The 16272-nt window shown below is 52.1% G+C and overlaps 1 protein-coding gene and 1 long non-coding RNA gene across 48 annotated transcripts in view, besides 4 other annotated features; both read right to left on the bottom strand.

Moving 5' to 3' along the window:
• Window positions 1-1897: 1897 nt before the first annotated feature.
• LINC00942 (long intergenic non-protein coding RNA 942) lies at window positions 1898-5831 on the bottom strand. Its single transcript, NR_028415.1, has 2 exons — window positions 5546-5831; window positions 1898-3855 (listed from the first exon to the last, which is right to left on the bottom strand). It is a non-coding gene; the product is annotated as a long intergenic non-protein coding RNA 942 (long non-coding RNA).
• Window positions 3376-3574: a silencer, noted in NCBI's record as "fragment chr12:1611914-1612112 (GRCh37/hg19 assembly coordinates)". NCBI's record gives its function as "represses an EF-1alpha promoter that drives an FKBP-Casp9 reporter gene in an ReSE screen in HepG2 liver carcinoma cells {active_cell/tissue: HepG2}" and the evidence as "EXISTENCE:reporter gene assay evidence [ECO:0000049][PMID:32094911]".
• Window positions 5127-5838: an enhancer, noted in NCBI's record as "H3K27ac-H3K4me1 hESC enhancer chr12:1609650-1610361 (GRCh37/hg19 assembly coordinates)". NCBI's record gives its function as "activates a minimal SCP1, AML or CMV promoter by ChIP-STARR-seq in primed H9 embryonic stem cells {active_cell/tissue: H9 hESC(primed)}" and the evidence as "EXISTENCE:reporter gene assay evidence [ECO:0000049][PMID:30033119]".
• Window positions 5127-6534: a biological region, named in NCBI's record as "MED14-independent group 3 enhancer GRCh37_chr12:1608954-1610153".
• Window positions 5335-6534: an enhancer, noted in NCBI's record as "MED14-independent group 3 enhancer chr12:1608954-1610153 (GRCh37/hg19 assembly coordinates)". NCBI's record gives its function as "activates an origin of replication core promoter dependent on BRD2, BRD4, P300/CBP and CDK7 cofactors, and independent of MED14, by STARR-seq in HCT116 cells {active_cell/tissue: HCT116}" and the evidence as "EXISTENCE:reporter gene assay evidence [ECO:0000049][PMID:35650434]".
• The window catches only part of ERC1 (ELKS/RAB6-interacting/CAST family member 1), a 505975-nt gene continuing 500091 nt past the window's right edge, over window positions 10389-16272 (bottom strand). For 46 of the 47 annotated variants that reach the window (NR_027948.3, NR_027946.3, NR_027949.3 and 43 more), the window contains one exon: window positions 10391-16229. Coding sequence is in view for 43 of the 47 variants with exons in the window: in XM_047428566.1 (XP_047284522.1) it covers window positions 16092-16229 (138 nt within the window). In the remaining 4 variants the exon portion in view is untranslated. Of the gene's footprint in view, window positions 16230-16272 lie in introns of all 47 variants that reach the window. The other variant, NM_001301248.1, reaches the window with a different exon arrangement.

Below are 16272 nucleotides of genomic sequence, written 5' to 3'. Positions count from 1 at the left end.
GAGGCTGCTATGGACAGGGGTGTAAGGATCTCTCTGAGACCCTGCTGTCAATAATTTTGCATATGTGCCCAGAAGTGGGATTGCTGGACCACAGGGTAATTCTATGTTTGATTTTTTTTTTTTTTTTTTGAGATGGAGTTTCGCTCTTGGTGCCCAGGCTGGAGTGCGATGGCACAATCTCGGCTCACCGCAACCTTCACCTCCCGAATTCAAGCAGTTCTCCTGCCTCAGCCTCCCGTATAGCTGGGACTACAGGTATGCACCACCATGCCCAGCTAATTTTGTAGCTTTAGTACAGACGGGGTTTCTTCATGTTGGTCAAGCTGGTCTCAGACGACGCCCGACCTCAGGTGATCCGCACACCTCGGCCTCCTAAAGTGCTGGGATCACAGGCGTGAGCCACTGTGCCCAGGCTGTTTGATTTTTTTTTTTAAGGAACCACCATATCATTTGGGGGTGGTCTTTGAAAGAGCACCACAAGCTACACCCAGAGAAGCTACCGCAGATGCTCGGAAGGTGGCGAGGAGGAGCTCTGGCTTGGGGGCAGGAGGCCTGGGCTTCAGTCAGCCTGGCCACTGCTGGGCTGCCTGACTCTGTGTAAGTGGCGTCGCTGCTCCGGGCCTCAGCTTCCCTCATGTTCATTTATGGAAAGCATTTTTATTGAACACCTAGAATGCTCCAGACACTCTCCTAAGCACAGGGATGTACTGATGATAAAGCAGATGTGAGCCACGTTCTCATTCAGCTTTGCATGGAAGGTGGTAACGGATGGAAAGGGCAAGCTCAGCCCTGACCCATCATCAGACCTTCAAGAACTCGGAAGCTGGGAGGGCGTGTTGGTTGATCAAAGATGCTGTATGTTCTCATATGAACAACCTCCTGTCGTGGTTTTCATATCAATAACTCCCTTCTAATTCCCAGTTTTAAAACTCAGAGAGGGCCACTGTGAAAAAACACAAACAAATCTATGGGGTGCTTGGTATGGAGCGAGGAGTCGTCTGTGTGAAGGCGCTGGGTGAAGACCACAGCACCTCAGGCACAGCCTGCCGATGCTGGCCGCCTCCGTCCACACGGGTGCGAGTGGCGGGAGGTGGCAAGGTGGGGGCCGGCTGGCCCGGGCTTGTTTGGTCACTAGAGTCCCTGACAGTGCAGTGACTGATGCAAACCTGGGACAAACACACACCAGCAAACCTCAAAGGGCATCTCAACAAAAGCTAGGGAGGGACACAGAACGTAAATCATGGGGCTTGGGTCAGGAAACTGCCACCAACCCAGCCCAGCTGCAGACAGCTGCGATTTTTGTGTCCTGGAGACCCAGGAGAAATTCCTTCCAATCTTGAGACCCGTCCTGATCAGCACCCGAATAAGGAGAACTCTGGGCTACAGGCCCCCACAATTTCCACCCTGCGGTTTCCTGATCCCAGTCGCTACAAGTGGAGGAAGAGAAGAAAACATTTTTGTGGTGAGATCTTTTTGCGCATAGGAAAAAATAGAAGAGAAAGAAAACAAGGGCAGCTCTGGGCAAGGGCCTGACAGATTTGGGGTTGGAGATGCATCCCTCGGAGCCCAAATGGCAATTAGCGGGCAAGGGTGGGTGCAGGTGAGGCAGGCACGGGCGAGGTCATGCAGGTGAGGCAGGTGCAGGTGAGGCGGGTGCGGGTGACGGGGGTGTGGGTGACGGGGGCCAGGGTGCCGAGGGAGGGCAGGCGGAGCATTTCTTTCCTTGCTGCCACCTCAGGAAGGGGCGTATTCTGCCAGGGTCAAATGCAAGTACGAGCAGCCACTCCAGCCTGTGTGAGCTGTCTCGAGTCTCTTGCTATTAAGGAAGAGGAATTAAGAGGAACTCAGGAAGAGGTAGTTCACTGAATAGAAGCCTGTTTTGCAGATGGTGATATCCAGTCAGGAGTATTTTTAATCACTGTCTACAGAGACACCTACATACACACACGGGTGGGGAATGAACCCAAAGTTTTTAGGTGAAGTCTCTCAGGGCCCACCCCGTGCCACAGACCTTCCTCGGTTGCAGAGATTCTGGGCAAAGCATCCGTGCTCTCATGAGATTATCCTGGGGAGATTTAGAAGAATTTTGTGGCCAGTCCCAAGCTGTGCTGATAATTTTTAACACCTAATGCTACTACCAATACTTTTGTTAATACAGGAAAGACTGGCTGGGCGCGGTGGCTCATCCCTATCTCTACTAAAAAAAAAAAAAAAATACAAAAAATTAGCCAGGCGTGGTGGTGCATGGCTGTAATCTCAGCTACTTGGGAGGCTGAGGCAGGAGAATTGCTTGAACCTGGGAGGCAGAGGTTGCGGTGAGCTGAGATGGCACCATTGCACTTCAGCCTGGGCACCAAGAGCGAAACTCTGTCTCAAAAAATAAAAATAAAAAAAAAGTAAAAAATAAAATAAAACAGGAAAGACCAGTGGGTCTCCTGAAGCCATTTGGCCACTGAAGTCTAGGTGGCCAGAGAAAGACCAGCACAGAGCTGCACCCACCACCAAGGCGCCCTCCCTCCTTCCTTCATCTTCACTGCCTCCCTCAGGCCGAGGAAATCAGAGACGCCAGCTCCACGGAGGGACAGCTTTGTCACATGTAGGATGGGGTGGCCCCTGTCCCGGGTGCCACGAGGTCCTGTCCTTGGCAAGCTTATGTCGGATCGTGGGGATGAGATGCAAGTTCAGTGACGCAGAATCGCAAAAGCCCCTCGTGGTGCGGAAACGTCATCAATTCCAAGCCTTCTGGAGATGAACCGCCGAGGGGGTGACGCTGAGTGGGCGTGGGGGCAGGTGCCTGAGGTGGCAGGGCACTTGCGGGGAGTCGTGGAGCCCAGTCGGGGTGTAGGTGGAGCGGGCTGTTTGCAGTGTGAAAGCTTCTCTGGCTGGTCTGCCACGCTGGGTCCTGTCCTGAGCCCCGTGCTCACTGTGGAGTCGTGTCTTCATTCTGATTCCTGCCCTGGGTGTGGCGCCCTCACAAGCAGGGCTTTCCCGTGTGTGTCTTGTGGGAGGCTGACATGGTCCCTGCCCCTGCTGGAGCAGCATCTTGTGTTTGGAGGAGGAAGGGTGCCTCTGGGTGGGGGGTAAGGAACGGGTGTCCTTCGTCGGGGGTACCCACTGGGACTTCGCTCTCTTGCTAGTCTAGCAAGTGGGCAATTCTGGCCAGTTCTCAGTCTTGCAGGGGTCGGCCCTCCTCCCCCTGCCTTGCTCTGGGCCCTTTAGGCGTGAAGGAGGCTCCATTTGCTAAGGAAACAGTGTGAGGAGAGCAGAAGCAGGAACAGCTTAGAGGTCTTGCCAGCTCCTGCGCCACCCTGCTCTGGCCACGGGGTGGGTGGCTGTGTCGGGGCTGTGCCTCCCTCTGCCTCTCCTGGCTGGACGCGTGGGCTCACCCCCACCCTGCTGTCTTCCTCCACTCGATTCCTTCTGGATTAGCTCCGTGTAGCATTACCCCAAAGACTCTGTCCAAGTTGGCAAGAATCGCACATTGGGCTGTTTGGCTTTTAATAAAGTTTATGATTTAAATCTTGTGCTCTTAACACCTTCTTTGCAAGCCTCAGAGGGAAACAACAATGTTGAAGTTGTTTACTCATTTCCTTCGTCACGTGGAGACCCTCACACTTGGCCAGGGCCCGTGTGTGTGAACAAAGAGTCAGGTTGTGTGGCTGTACACACACACACACACACACACACGTGCACTCAGAGGAGCGGAGGAATCTTTGGGAAGACTGGCTGTATTTCAGTACCTGGCAAATTTCCAGAACATCAAATGAGCCCTTAAGCAGGAAGACTCCTCTGCAGAACTAACACCTGCAGTAGATTCTGAGCGTTTGCCTCCTCACCAGACTCAGTACTGTTTCCCTGGAAGTAAAGAAGGAGACTTATCAGGCCTCTTGTGTGCCCCTGGGAGGAAATACAAGTTCGAAGCGCACCAGAGGACCTGTGTGGAGATTTCAGCATAGGGGAGCGAGGAGAGGAGAGGAGGCCGTGGTCGGATCCTCACACAGCTGCTTCCCTCCCTCCTGGCTGCTTGCACTGGAGATGCAGTCAGGCCCGGCACCAAGGCAGCTAAGGCTGCGGCAGACCCTGCTGTCCTGGACCCTGGCCTGGAAACAAGGAATTCCGCAGAGGCAGCAAGTGGGATTCCCCTTGACATCAGGTAGCCACCGCGCAGGCTTGCTCTGACCTGTCCCGCCCACAGGGAAAGCTGGGGTCGTAACGGATGTCCAGGCTAATATTTTCAGGCCCGACACATCTCCAATGACGTGGGCTAGAACTGTGCCAGCTGCAGAAAAGAAGGTCCTGGAAGACGAAGCCCTGGGAAGCCTGCAAGTCATCAGATCAGCGCTGATCACTTGGCAAGGTCAGTGTGTGCACAGGCATGCTTGACTGGGTCTGCAGGGGACCCAAAAGCAGGAACAGACACATGCCCTGCCCTCAAGGGGCTTGCAGTCAGTGAGGGGACAGGAGAAGGAAAGCAGGCTCCTGTTTTGGGTGGGAGGCAATGGAGATCTAAGTGCTCTCTCACCGCGGAGGTTGCCTGGGGACTCTTCAAGGGGCTTTTGTGACATTTAGTCCATGTAGGAGAGTTCAGAGATACCGGAGCCAGGGATGGCTTGCATGCTGCGGCTTGAACCCCATGACGTGACATCCTGGCAAAGGATCCAATGTTGGGCTCCAGTCTGCCTGGGTCCCCTTTGTCACAGTGACTGACAGGCAGGGCAGACAAAGCTCTCATTCAAGAGAACATCCCAGCCAGGTGCTGTTGCTCACGCCTGTAATCCCAGCACTTTGGGAGGCCGAAGTGGATGGATCACCTGAAGTCAGGAGCTCGACATCAGCCTGACCAACATGGTGAAACCCCGTCTCTACTAAAAATACAAAAAATTAGCTGGGCGTGGCCGCAGGCACCTGTAATCCCAGCTACTCGGGAGGCTGGAGCAGGAGAATAGCTTGAACCCGGAAGGCGGAGGTTGCAGTGAGCTGAGGTTGTGCCACTGCACTCCAGCCTGGGTGACAGAACGAGACTCCATCTCAAAAAAAAAAAAGATTAAAAATAAATAAAAAATAAAAAAGAAAATAAAAAGAGACCATCCCTGCAGGAGGATGACGCGGCCCCAGATGATGAGGCTGGTGGATTGGCATCTGGGCTTTTTTTCCCTCCTCAAGCAGAAACAATCTGATTGTTGGTATCTGACCTCTTGGGGATGGGGTGGGCACCACAGCCCTGCCCGGAGTGGTCTCTCAGGAGGGCAGGCCCAGAGGCCTCTGTGAGGGCTGGAGGTGGTCTTGGAGCAGGGGTAGCGTGAAGAGGCCGGCAACGCCCTCACGTCTCCAGGAGAGCTCCCATTGCAGGCCTCAGTGCTCCCATCTCTAGCTGGTTTCTACACCCACGGAGGATTTTAGACGCAGGAAATGGCCTTGGAATAGGGTCTGGTCAGAGGGGGATGACCTCTATAAGGGTGATGGTCCTGTTTCCAAGATCCTAGGCTTTAGGACAAACGATATGAGGGTTTCCTCACAGCCCCTGGGAATAATGCCACCGACTTACCGCAGACACCACCCAGCAAGTTTCCAAGCAGGAGCCAGCCGGCCAAGGCCGACCGAACGCAACCATGGGTGCCGGGCCCTGCCGTGTGCACGTCGGGCCTCACGCGGTCCCCTAGTCCCTCGCCCACCTGCCTTCATGTTCAAGGCCCACAATCCAGGCCCCACTTTGCCCTGAAATGGAGAGCTGATTCCTTGCCATTCCGCAGGACAAGCGTCCTGTCTCCTACTGCCCCGTAGGCCCCACAAAGGCTGTGCTCGGGGAGGAGCGGTGAAGCCGGAGGCAGCCTCCCCTGAGAAGGTCAGTCCCCCTGCAGCCAGCCCCATGGGAGTGCCCAGGCGGGACAGTGGGAGGAGGAAGGCCAACTGGCTTCCTGCCTAAAGGGCCAGATGGCTCGTCAAAGCTGCCGAGTCATCCTGACATCAGTACTTAGGATAAAAACCAAGAAGAACTTCGGGATGGAGAAACGTGGCACGCCTCCCGTCACCTGGACCTGCCCTGCTCGTCTAGGGTCACTGCCTGTGTCCTGGGGTTTACTGCTGACCTCAAGGCCCGGGCCTGGCTGCTGCGGGAGGCGTGGTGGTGGCCGGGGCACCGTCGCACGGAAGTCCTTGTTCCTGGGTTGTGTTCCCGGCACGGGAGCACTGCACAAATGCAGAGGGAGGAGTCCAGGCACATCAGCCCATTACATCCTGCACACGGGCCAGGTCCAAGTCAAGATGCAGATTCCCACAACCCTGAAGAATAAAATCATAGTAATAAAAAAGTGTAAGCCCAAGACAAACCAAGCAGGAACCATCTTTCGAGCGTGAATTCTTTCAGATGCCAGAGATGGCTTTTTGTTATGGAAGTTTCTCAGACATTCGATGCACTTTTTTTGCCCACATCTGACTCTCCCTCTTCAGAGCAGCGCGGCTCAAGTTCTTGACTCGCACGAACAAGGCTGAGCCGACCAAGTGCTGTGGAGACCGAGACTGAGGGGCCGGGAAGGTGCCAAGGCGGCCAAGACAGAACTGAGCGTTAACTTGGGAAGGGAAAGATGAATGTCGCACGCTGGGAGCAGCAGGAGGAGTTGGGAAGAAGAGTGCTTCACGGCTGAACCCAGCCGAAGGCACGGATGTCCCAGGTCACCCTGTAAGCCATTGCCTATGGCAGGGGATGGCTTCTTCCCCAGACGACACGGCAAAGGAATGGTCCCTGTGGACAGGGAGGGCTGGAGTGGCACTACCAAGCTGCAAACCTCATTCCTGTCCCATTGAGGGCCTGGAGGAGAGAACATTCATAGGGCTTCATCGCCTCATTCCCAGGAAATCAACTGCCCAGAGCCAAACGGAGCCTGAAATCCTGACGTGACTCACATCCACCGTAATGGTGACCAAGCCACGCATGTTATTTTCTCTTTCCTCTGAAACCCCCAGCCACAGTGTGGCCCTGATGCCTCAACCCCTCTGAGGCTGTCAGGGAGTCTGGGGCCAGAGAAAGGTTTGGCAGCGATGGACCCATTCTGAACCCAGGTCCAGTTAAGTTGCTGTATAACTCAGGGCAACTTAATCTTTCATTTCTAGTTTCTCTGCCAGAAAAGCAGGTGAAGGGAGGCAAAATACAGACCTCATGTTGAGTAACTGAAGATTGAGTGATGCCCTTTCTAAAGGGCCCACCTGCCTGGATGCGGTAAAAACAATGTCCCATGTCAGCTGGTGCTTTGGCTAACACCTATATCCCAGCACTTAGGGAGGCTGAGGAGGGAAGATTGCCTGAGCTCAGGATTCAAGACCAGTCTGGGCAACATAGTGAGACCTCATCTCTACAAGAGTTTAAAAAATTAGTTGGGCATGGTGGCACACACCTGTTATCCCAGCTCCTCAGGAGGCTGAGGCAGGAGGATCACTTGAGCCCAGGAGGTCGAGGCTGCAGTGAGCTATGATTGCAGTGCTACACTCCAGCCTGGGTGACAGAGCCAGATGTGTCTCTCAATGTATCAATAAGAACATCCTCCTTCCCTTAGGAAAGCAGAGTCCCCTCATGTAGCTTCTCTGCACGTGGCCTGGGGAGCCTCCCTCAGGTCACACGCTGGCAGCTCCAGAATGCATGTGCCCAGGGGTGTTTCCTTTGCTTTTTTATATCAGCCCCTGGGGAGGCTTTTCTTCGTCGGTAGCTGGGGAGGGGTCGGGACCACTGGGGCTGTGAGATCGTGTCTCCCAAGCTGGCCTCCTTCCTAGGGCACTGGGGATCCCCTTTCATGCTGCACCTGCGGCCACGGCCGCGCCTCGTCGCTCTGAAGCCAGGCAGTACGCATGTCCTCTGTCCACACTGGCCACTTGCTGTCCCAAGTGCCCTCCTCGTACTTTCCTACCTCCCTGGTCTTGCTCATCTGTCTTTTTGGCTTCCCTTCACCCCCTTTTCCGGCAAAATCCACCTGTTGAAGTTGTGTGACGAGCACTGCCTGCTCTCGTGCCCCACTGCACTTCACTGGGCTTAGCTGTCCCCAGCAGACTGTCCTCCCCGGGAGGTGGCCACAGCAGTGGGCTGAAGAACACACACTCTGGAGACAGAGTCGGGTGTGAATTCCAGTCTCACCACTAACATGCTGTGTGGCGCTGGGAAGGTCGTGCGTCCACTTTGTGCCTCTCCTGTAAAGTGGGATAACAGTACCCACCTTGTAGGACTGCTGTGAAGGTGAACCGACACCAAACCTGTGCAGTGCTCAGAACTGAAGCTGGCAGGTGGTCCACATGTCACTAGCTTTTATTATTTGTAGCCTGGAGTCTAGAACACAGGGAAGTACAAATTCTGAACGGAGCGCTACGGTGGCCCTTTGTGAATGCAGAGTGCTTGGATCTTCGGAGGAAGAGGCCTGTATGGGCAAGTACAGTTGAAGGATGTGAATATTTAACTGATTCAGGAAACATTCAAACACAAGAATAAGGAGAATGGACTTACAAACCCCATGCACGCAGTTCCCCAGCTTCATAATTACCGACCTCTGGCCCATCTTTTGTCTCCACGCCCTTGCTCCTCCCCGACAGACATGCTTGATTATTTTTAAGTGAATCGCAGATGTTAAGAAAGCAATTTATGCTCTGTAAAGAAAATTTCAAAAAGGAAAAAGATTATCCTACGGCACCTTCATTATGACCTAGGCTGGGGACAGGGATGAAGGAGGCATTCTTTCAGAGGTGAAGAAGAGGCTGGGAGGTCAAGCGGCAGCCCAGGGCTGCAGTCTGCGAGTCTGGGCCCTTTCCAGGACACCTGGGAAGGCTCACAAACCTCACACCAGCTTCCCCCCAGCCCCAGAGCCTATTTATTTTTTTTGAGACAGGGTTTCTCTCTGCACCTCTAGGCTGGAGTGCAGTGGTGTGATCACTGCAGCTCACTGCAGCCTCCATCTCCTGGGCTCAAGTCATCCTCTTGCCTCAGCCTCCAAAGCAGCTGGGACTATAGGCACATGCCACCATGCCCTGCTAAATTTTTAATTTATTGTAACGAGAGAGGTCTCACTATGTTGTCCAGGCTGGTCTCGAACTCCTCGCCTCAAGTGATCTTCCCACCTTGGCCTCCCAAAGTGTTGGGATTAAAGGTTTCAGCTACAGCACCCAGTCCCTAAGTAGCTCCTAATCATTTTTGAGCCAGCCTGAGATATTCCACCTCAAAAATAAAGTACTAGTTATCTTCTCTCAGTTCCGAAAAAAAATTAATGGATGGAATTCTTAAAAGTTTTCACATATTTTCTTTAAATCTATTGTCGGTGTCCACTTGCCTGCAACTGGGCACTGGTAGAATGCAGGGTGAATAAATAGTAAAAAAGATGAATGGGAAACCTTGGAAACAGCTGACCAGTGTAATCTGACAGCTTTCTGTGGACACATTTGCTTGTGGTTGTGATTTTATATTGTGCAGAATAATACATGCTCGGCTAGTAAAATTGTTCCTGCTTCATATGATGAAAGTACAAGCAACCTCAGCCCTGCAGCCGTGTCCACAGCGCCCTGTCTCCCGGGCACGTCTCCCCTGGCAGAGCTTCCCAACAGCTGCTGTGGCTGCAGAGAGCGAGGCCAGGGTGGGACCTGGGCACTGGGAGGGCCGACCGGGAAGAACGAGTTTGGACTCTCTTGCTACAATTCCCAAGAGCCAACACCCAGCGTGTGGCAGAATTTACACGGGAGAGGGAAGGAATGCAGCAAGCTGGCTTGATTCCTCTCTCGGGCAGACACAGAAGTGTGGCTAAGCAGAAAAGTAATTCTCATAAAAGAAATCCTCCAGAATAATTTCTTATTGAGCATAAAGCCCAAGACAAATCCCAAAGCTGGAAATGACAGCCGCGTCCAAGCACAGGGTTTCTCGGCTCCTTTTACTCTTGGCACACACACTTTCTGTTGACCCAGCCTGCACGCCCCAGAGTCAGTGCATCAGAACGCGCCCTGCTGAAGCTTGAGTCCCAGTCCTGGGCAAAGCCCTCCCTTGGTGGCCGCCCTTCTGGCTCTTCTACCTTGGTACAACAGCAGCACCATCCCTCAGCGCTGGGCACCTACTCTAAGCTCTGGAACAGTGAGACCTGATACGGATAACCTGGCCCGGGGCTGAGGGTAGAAAGAAGGAAAAAGGGAACCGGGAATTGACTTTAAAAGCTGCAAACCCGGAGATCAGGCGGGAAGGGAAAGGAGGCTCATGCCCGTCAGGGCTGTGATGACTCCCACACCCACCGTAAATCCTGGGACCCCTGGCCCTCGGGCTGCCTGCCATTGGAGTTGGCCTCTTGGGCACTGCAGACCTTGTCCATCTTTTCTAGCATTTGGGGACACACCTTGCCTGGATGATCAGCTGGGTGACACTCAAAGAAGGACACAGCACGGTTTTTAAATAACTTTATAATTTCCTGGTGGATTTAGTTTGTGAATAAAAAAGAAAAAATGAACAAAGTGTTTACAATAATTATCAAGGCAAAGTTGAATATAACACAATTTCTTTGTAATGTCATTATCCTGTCAGTAACACAACTCCAGCAGGAACACACACATACAGCTGAAGGCAGCGGGTGCACGTGCATCCCAGACACCACCATGGAGGCTGCTACTGTTACCAAAAGGAACTCAAGCTACAAGGGGGCAGGTGCTCCTCAGCTCCTCCACTAAAGTGCAACACTTCTCTTCTGACGCATCAGGGAGCAGTCACAGGCCCCACTGGATATCCTGCAATGCCCGGCAGGTGCCTGGGCTAGTCCTGCGATGGGCCAGCAGGCCAGAGTGGGTGGTGCTGCCCTCAGGATGTGTAGCTGCAGTAGATGGATGCAATACTGGCGTGGTGTGGAATGAGGGGCTGGACCCAGAGGGCCTGCTTTGGCCGGGGTGAATTCTCTGGCTTCAGTAGGGTTCACTTCCTTTCCTGACAGTGGCTTCTCTGGGGTCAAGAGAGAGCCTGGGCCTAGGAGATCTAGGGTCTAAAAAAGCTCAAAGGGAAATAATTGAGGGCCTGAAGCCAGAAGGAACTGACATGGAGGACAGTCTGTTCCACCTGGATTGCAGGCTCCAGGCTGGCCAGTGCTCACCCGTGCTGGGTGGTCACTGGAAGAGATAGCACCAAGTGGGCAGGAGAGGTCCTGTGGCCTGCCAGGCAGGGGCTTCAGGGTCAAGCCCAGGTTACCATGCAGTATTAGGCACACTGAGCTAGAACCCACGTCGGGTGAGGGTGGTTATGGGGTCACAAACTGTGAAACCTCTACCCAGAGGTCCTGAACATGTATAGGAAAATCCTGGCACAACTGCGAGGCTCTGAGCCCCAGATTCTCGTTCCTTTTGCTCGGCAGGTGTCTCTTGCCCAGGCAGGCACTACCCTAAGTGTGCTCCATGCTTCCTAAGCCGCCAGCCCAGGGCCACCTATGCCAGCCTGGGAGGAGGGGAGTGTGGCTGCCCCATAGCTTGAATTCCTTTATTAACAAGATATTGGTTTGCATTTTTAAAACACAGCTGTTTAATTTTTCATTTCTACAACTACGTTTTAATCTTTTAATAATCTCAACAACAGACACAATGTAACTGCCCCAATTCTCTGAATCACACAGACAATATCGACAAGCAGAGAAAGAAGAGAGGAGGTGGGATGGGACAAAAACCCGCTCCCCCAAATCAATCCCTAAAACCACTTCTCCCCCAAGAGTCAGGAGAAGTACCTACAACAGGGCCACAGCACTTGCCAAACACATTGGAAAAAATCAGGAGACAGTTGGTTACATTTTTGACACTAAAAAGTCTGGAGACGGTTTTTGCTGAAGAGTAGGTGAAGATAGCCATTTTGTTCAGAAGGATTTCCCTGTAATGTATGTCTTTTCTTGCAAGAAGAGTAGGTGAAGACAGCCATTTTGTTCAGAAGGATTTCCCTGTAATGTATGTCTTTTCTTGCCTAATTCTTCCCTAATTTGCATGGGGGAAACTCCAGATCCTCTTTAAGACATTCCTTTGAGTGGTTCACGTCCCCTCCTGAGCAGCCCAGGGCTGGCAGTGATGGACGGGCGGCCTCACTCTGCAGAGGGTGCCTGCTGCATTGCAGTCTCTTCTCATCCTTCCTCCTCAGTTCCGAACCCAGGCAGGTGAAGAGGAGGCCAGGAGCAGATGTTAAATTACTGGTATTTGCTGACACAGGGTCCGCTGGGCTTGAGAAATGCCATGTGGTGTCACACTCCACGCAGCGGTCTTCTCTGCTTGGCTCTTTCCTCAAAGACTCTGAGGGTCTTGACACCGGGCCTACACTCAAGTAACATGGTCAACAGGAGGGCGGGATGGTTCTGGGAGGAACAGGACTCTGGCAGCAAATCCAAATGCCAGTGGATGGGCGGCTCAGAAACATTTATATTTTGGGGTGACACATGATGGTTGCCTCACAACCCTGACCCTCAATAGCGGAGGGATTAGTTCAGCAGGTGGCTAAGACCGTGTCTGTGATGACTTCGCCTTCCTCTTCTCTCACTCTGGGGGTGGGTGAGCCCGCAAGTTCCTCATGGAAAACCAGACTTCAATGGACAGAAATTGAGGGGCAAGTCACAATGCCCTTCTTGACACTGAAGGCGGCCTTGGGTCCAGTCTGCTTTACAAGTTATTTCTAAAACCCAAGTGTGAGGAAGTCTGAGAGCCACAGGTAGATCTTTAGATTGTAAAGTGCAAGGACAAAGGTTAAAAGGTTAGAGCTGAGATGAATTTGGTGATTCCCATCCATATATATATATATATATATATATATATATTTTTTTTTTTTTTTTTTAAATGGAGTCTCTGTCACCCAGGCTGGAGTGCAGTGACACGATCTCGGCTCACCGCAGCCTCTGCCTCCCAGGCTCAAGCGATTCTCCTGCCTCCTGAGTAGCTGGGATTACAGGCGTACGCCACCACGCCTGGCTAATTTTGTATTTTTAGTAGAGTCGGGGTTTTTGCCATCTTGGCCAGGCTGGCCTCGAACTCCTGATCTCAGGTGATCCGCCTGCCTCAGCCTTCCAGAGTTCTGGGATTACAGGCGTGAGCCACTGTGGCCGGCCCCATCCATATTTCTTAAACATGTTAAAGCCCGTTCAAAATTTTTCCATTTCAAATGGTATCAAAGTCCTTGCAAATCTCAATTGAGATACCTCATCAATGATTCAATGAGTACCGGGGGTTAGAGGTATATGAAAAGATGAGAAGCTCACACTGGGCTTCTTCAGTTACAAAACCCCGTTGGGATCACACCCACTCTTCTTCGTGCCCTCTTTATGGTGACATTGGTTTGGGGTGCAGATCTTTAGGTGCTAAAGGGCAACTAGACTTGCCGATGGAGGGGTTTGGGGAAAATTAAGGGCAACCTGCACTGAGTTTTCAAGGCTATATAACTTCAGTAGCAGTTGTATGCCCATATGAAACCATGACCACTAGGAGAGGGGCATGGAATGACAAGTCCTAGTGTGATGGGAGTGGGACATTTGGTTAAGTGTTGGTTCAATGATCTAGACTCAATGAGACACTCTGAAAGCTACAAACTGCATCCACTCTGCCCTACAGCACGAAGGCCACGTTTATTACTGAACTCCTAGCCAGCCTCCAGTGCCCAAGAACGGTCAAGAAGATTCCTTGCTGTTCACAGAGACCAGACAGATGATATCGGTCCCGGAAATGCTTCTTCTCAGAAGCAGTGTCACAGAGGGCTTCCTTCCATCCGTTTTTCTGGAGGGGAAGTGATGGAGAATGCTGAGATGAAGAGGAGAGTGACACACCCAGTGGCTGAGAGTGGCAGGCGCTGCACCTGATGAGAAAGTCCACGTGGGTGGGATCTGGGCCACCTGCTTGGAGAGAGCAGCTGGCCAGTGCCCGTGCCAGACCACTTGTTTAGGCATGGCCTCGCCTGCTGTCTTGGTTCCACCGTGGCCCCGTGAAGGCTGTTATCACACCGCAGTTCTTTACGTTATGGTGGATAAAGCGAGATGCTAACACTCCTGCCTTTCAGTGCTGGGAGCTTTCTACATGGTTTACGGGCACTGCAATGAACAGAATTGAGGTAACTGACCACAAACGACCACCACTTACTATCTAACCCCTGCACCCCTCTCTGGCCAGCCTGGCTATCAGGAAGCATCTCAGTAAGAGGTTTATGAGCAGAGTCCATTTAACCTTCGATAAGAAACGCTCCACAGTTTCCTCTCACAGGGAGAGGGATTGTTTCACAGCAGGGAGTAGGGGGAGCTGGAAATCTGACCATGTCAGTTAATGGGACAGTCAAGGGCTGGTGGTGGGAAGTTCCTGGACTGATGGGGCTGTGCTGACTCTACAGACTTTAAATTCTCTGAGTAAGTGGGGAAGGAGAGGAGAAAATGCAAAACAAAAACATCGAGTCCAGCAACTCTTATCAGGAGATGTGAGTGTCTGCTGGGTTCTGGTGGTAGAGGTGGTCAAAGAACTAGATTTGGGTTAAGTTCCTGCCTAATTATTTATGACTGCTGTTGTCTACGCTACGTCCTTAACAATGCCAATACCTTCATTGATTTGCAGTCTTGGGGTCAGCTTTCTGATTTGCAACATGAAGCTGGCTGAATTCCACGAGGTACATGCAGATGTCAGGAAATGGCCACCCACAAGTAGATACTCAGAGCCCCTCTAAGGGCAATAACAAACAGCAAAAATCCAGAATCATCAAATGGAATCCTACAGGCAAGCGGGTGACTGAGACCCCCAAACTCATGAATTCCATTAGGGAACTTTTCTAGAAAACACACCTTAAGATCGGGGAGGGGAAGGACATGCTATTTACTGCTTCAACTCCAGCAGGTATGTCTCACAGAATCCACTACATCTCTCCCTCACTGAGAAGTGGCCTTTTCAAGGATGGATGACTTGCACACAGTAGGCATTTCATAAATATTCTCTGAATGAAATAACCGAGGAAGGAATGTGTGTAGGAGGAAAAACCTTCATTTATGCTAGAAGAAGGTTCCAGGCAATGCACGAGGCTGAGGTTCAGAGAAGACGAGTCAAGGGCAAAGCTAGCAGGGTGAGTGAGGGATCACAACTTCAGCAGCCACTGGGCTGCAGGAGCTCAGGACACGGGTGCTGGCAAGGCAGGCAGCCTCTTGGAGGTGTTCAGGGGAAACCAGCCCAAGAGCAACGGGCATCTGTTACTGGGGCAAAGCTGCAGGCGGGGACAACAGGGTCTCATATGTCAACTTTGTATGTTCTCTTTTTAATTTTTTGTAGAGACAGGGTCACGCTATGTTGCCCTGGCTGGTGCTCTTTCAACCTCACATGTTCTTCAATTAGAGATATTTGATCTAACACCTCAGTATGATAACGTCAACAGTCTCAAACAGGAGAGACTGGTGGAGAACACCTCACACCATCTTCTTGTTAACTGGCCGAGGAACAGAGTGAGGAAGGCTGCGACAGACAGGCAGGGCTGGATGAAGACTCAGACCTTGGGAGAACGAGTGCTCCCAAGCCATCGTGAGGCCTGCTCACAGCTCCCCGGTACAAAGCATCTCATGTGGAAAGTAAGCAGAAGAGACAGTAAAAAGAAGAGTCGATTTTCTCTTCCCTTCCCCCCTTCTCTTTTTCTAATCTTTTTGAGATTGTTTTTTGCCCTTTTAGGAGAAAGCACCTATTGTGATATTAGAACACTCAGCTCTCTGGTCCATTGGAGGCATCCTCTCAGCCTGTTGAACTCCAAGTCCATTCCTGGTTTCATTCTCATGTCAGAGGACAGGAGGTGAGAGGCTCCTCTGCTCCATGGCTCTCTGTCAGGGCAGAGCCACCAGCTCCCACAGTTCTCCACTGCTGATGACCAGGTGGCAGTTCTTCAGAGAGATTCGACCCTTTATCTACCCTGGACATCAAGAAGGTTAGTGTAGAGACCACATCCAAAGCAGAAAGGCAGAGTAAGATGGCAGATGTAGAAACGGTGCTGGAATCACACTTCTTCAAGTGAGCAAGTTGGGATGAAGTTTGTAGTGTTTGGTGCCAAGAAGGTTCCGGGCACCTGTTCCTCGTAGTTCTCTTTTCTTGGCTCCTGGGTTGACTACCTCAGGCTTCCCCATAAAGCAGGGTCAAGAGGACTCTTCCAGGGCGTTGACCACTTGCTCTAGGATGTCGGGACAATGGTCTGCTATCTGCTGAAGAATGGCGTTGGCAAACTCCTGCAGTTCTGCATTGTCCCGTTCACCTTTCTCTAACTCATCCTGAAGCTGAAAGGGAAAGGAGAGATGGATTTCAGATACAACAATCCCA

Source organism: Homo sapiens, chromosome 12 (genome assembly GCF_000001405.40).
Source record: "Homo sapiens chromosome 12, GRCh38.p14 Primary Assembly".
Lineage (NCBI taxonomy): Eukaryota > Metazoa > Chordata > Mammalia > Primates > Hominidae > Homo > Homo sapiens.
Note: the sequence above shows the minus strand (reverse complement) of the source record. Positions and strands in the feature narration are given on the sequence as shown.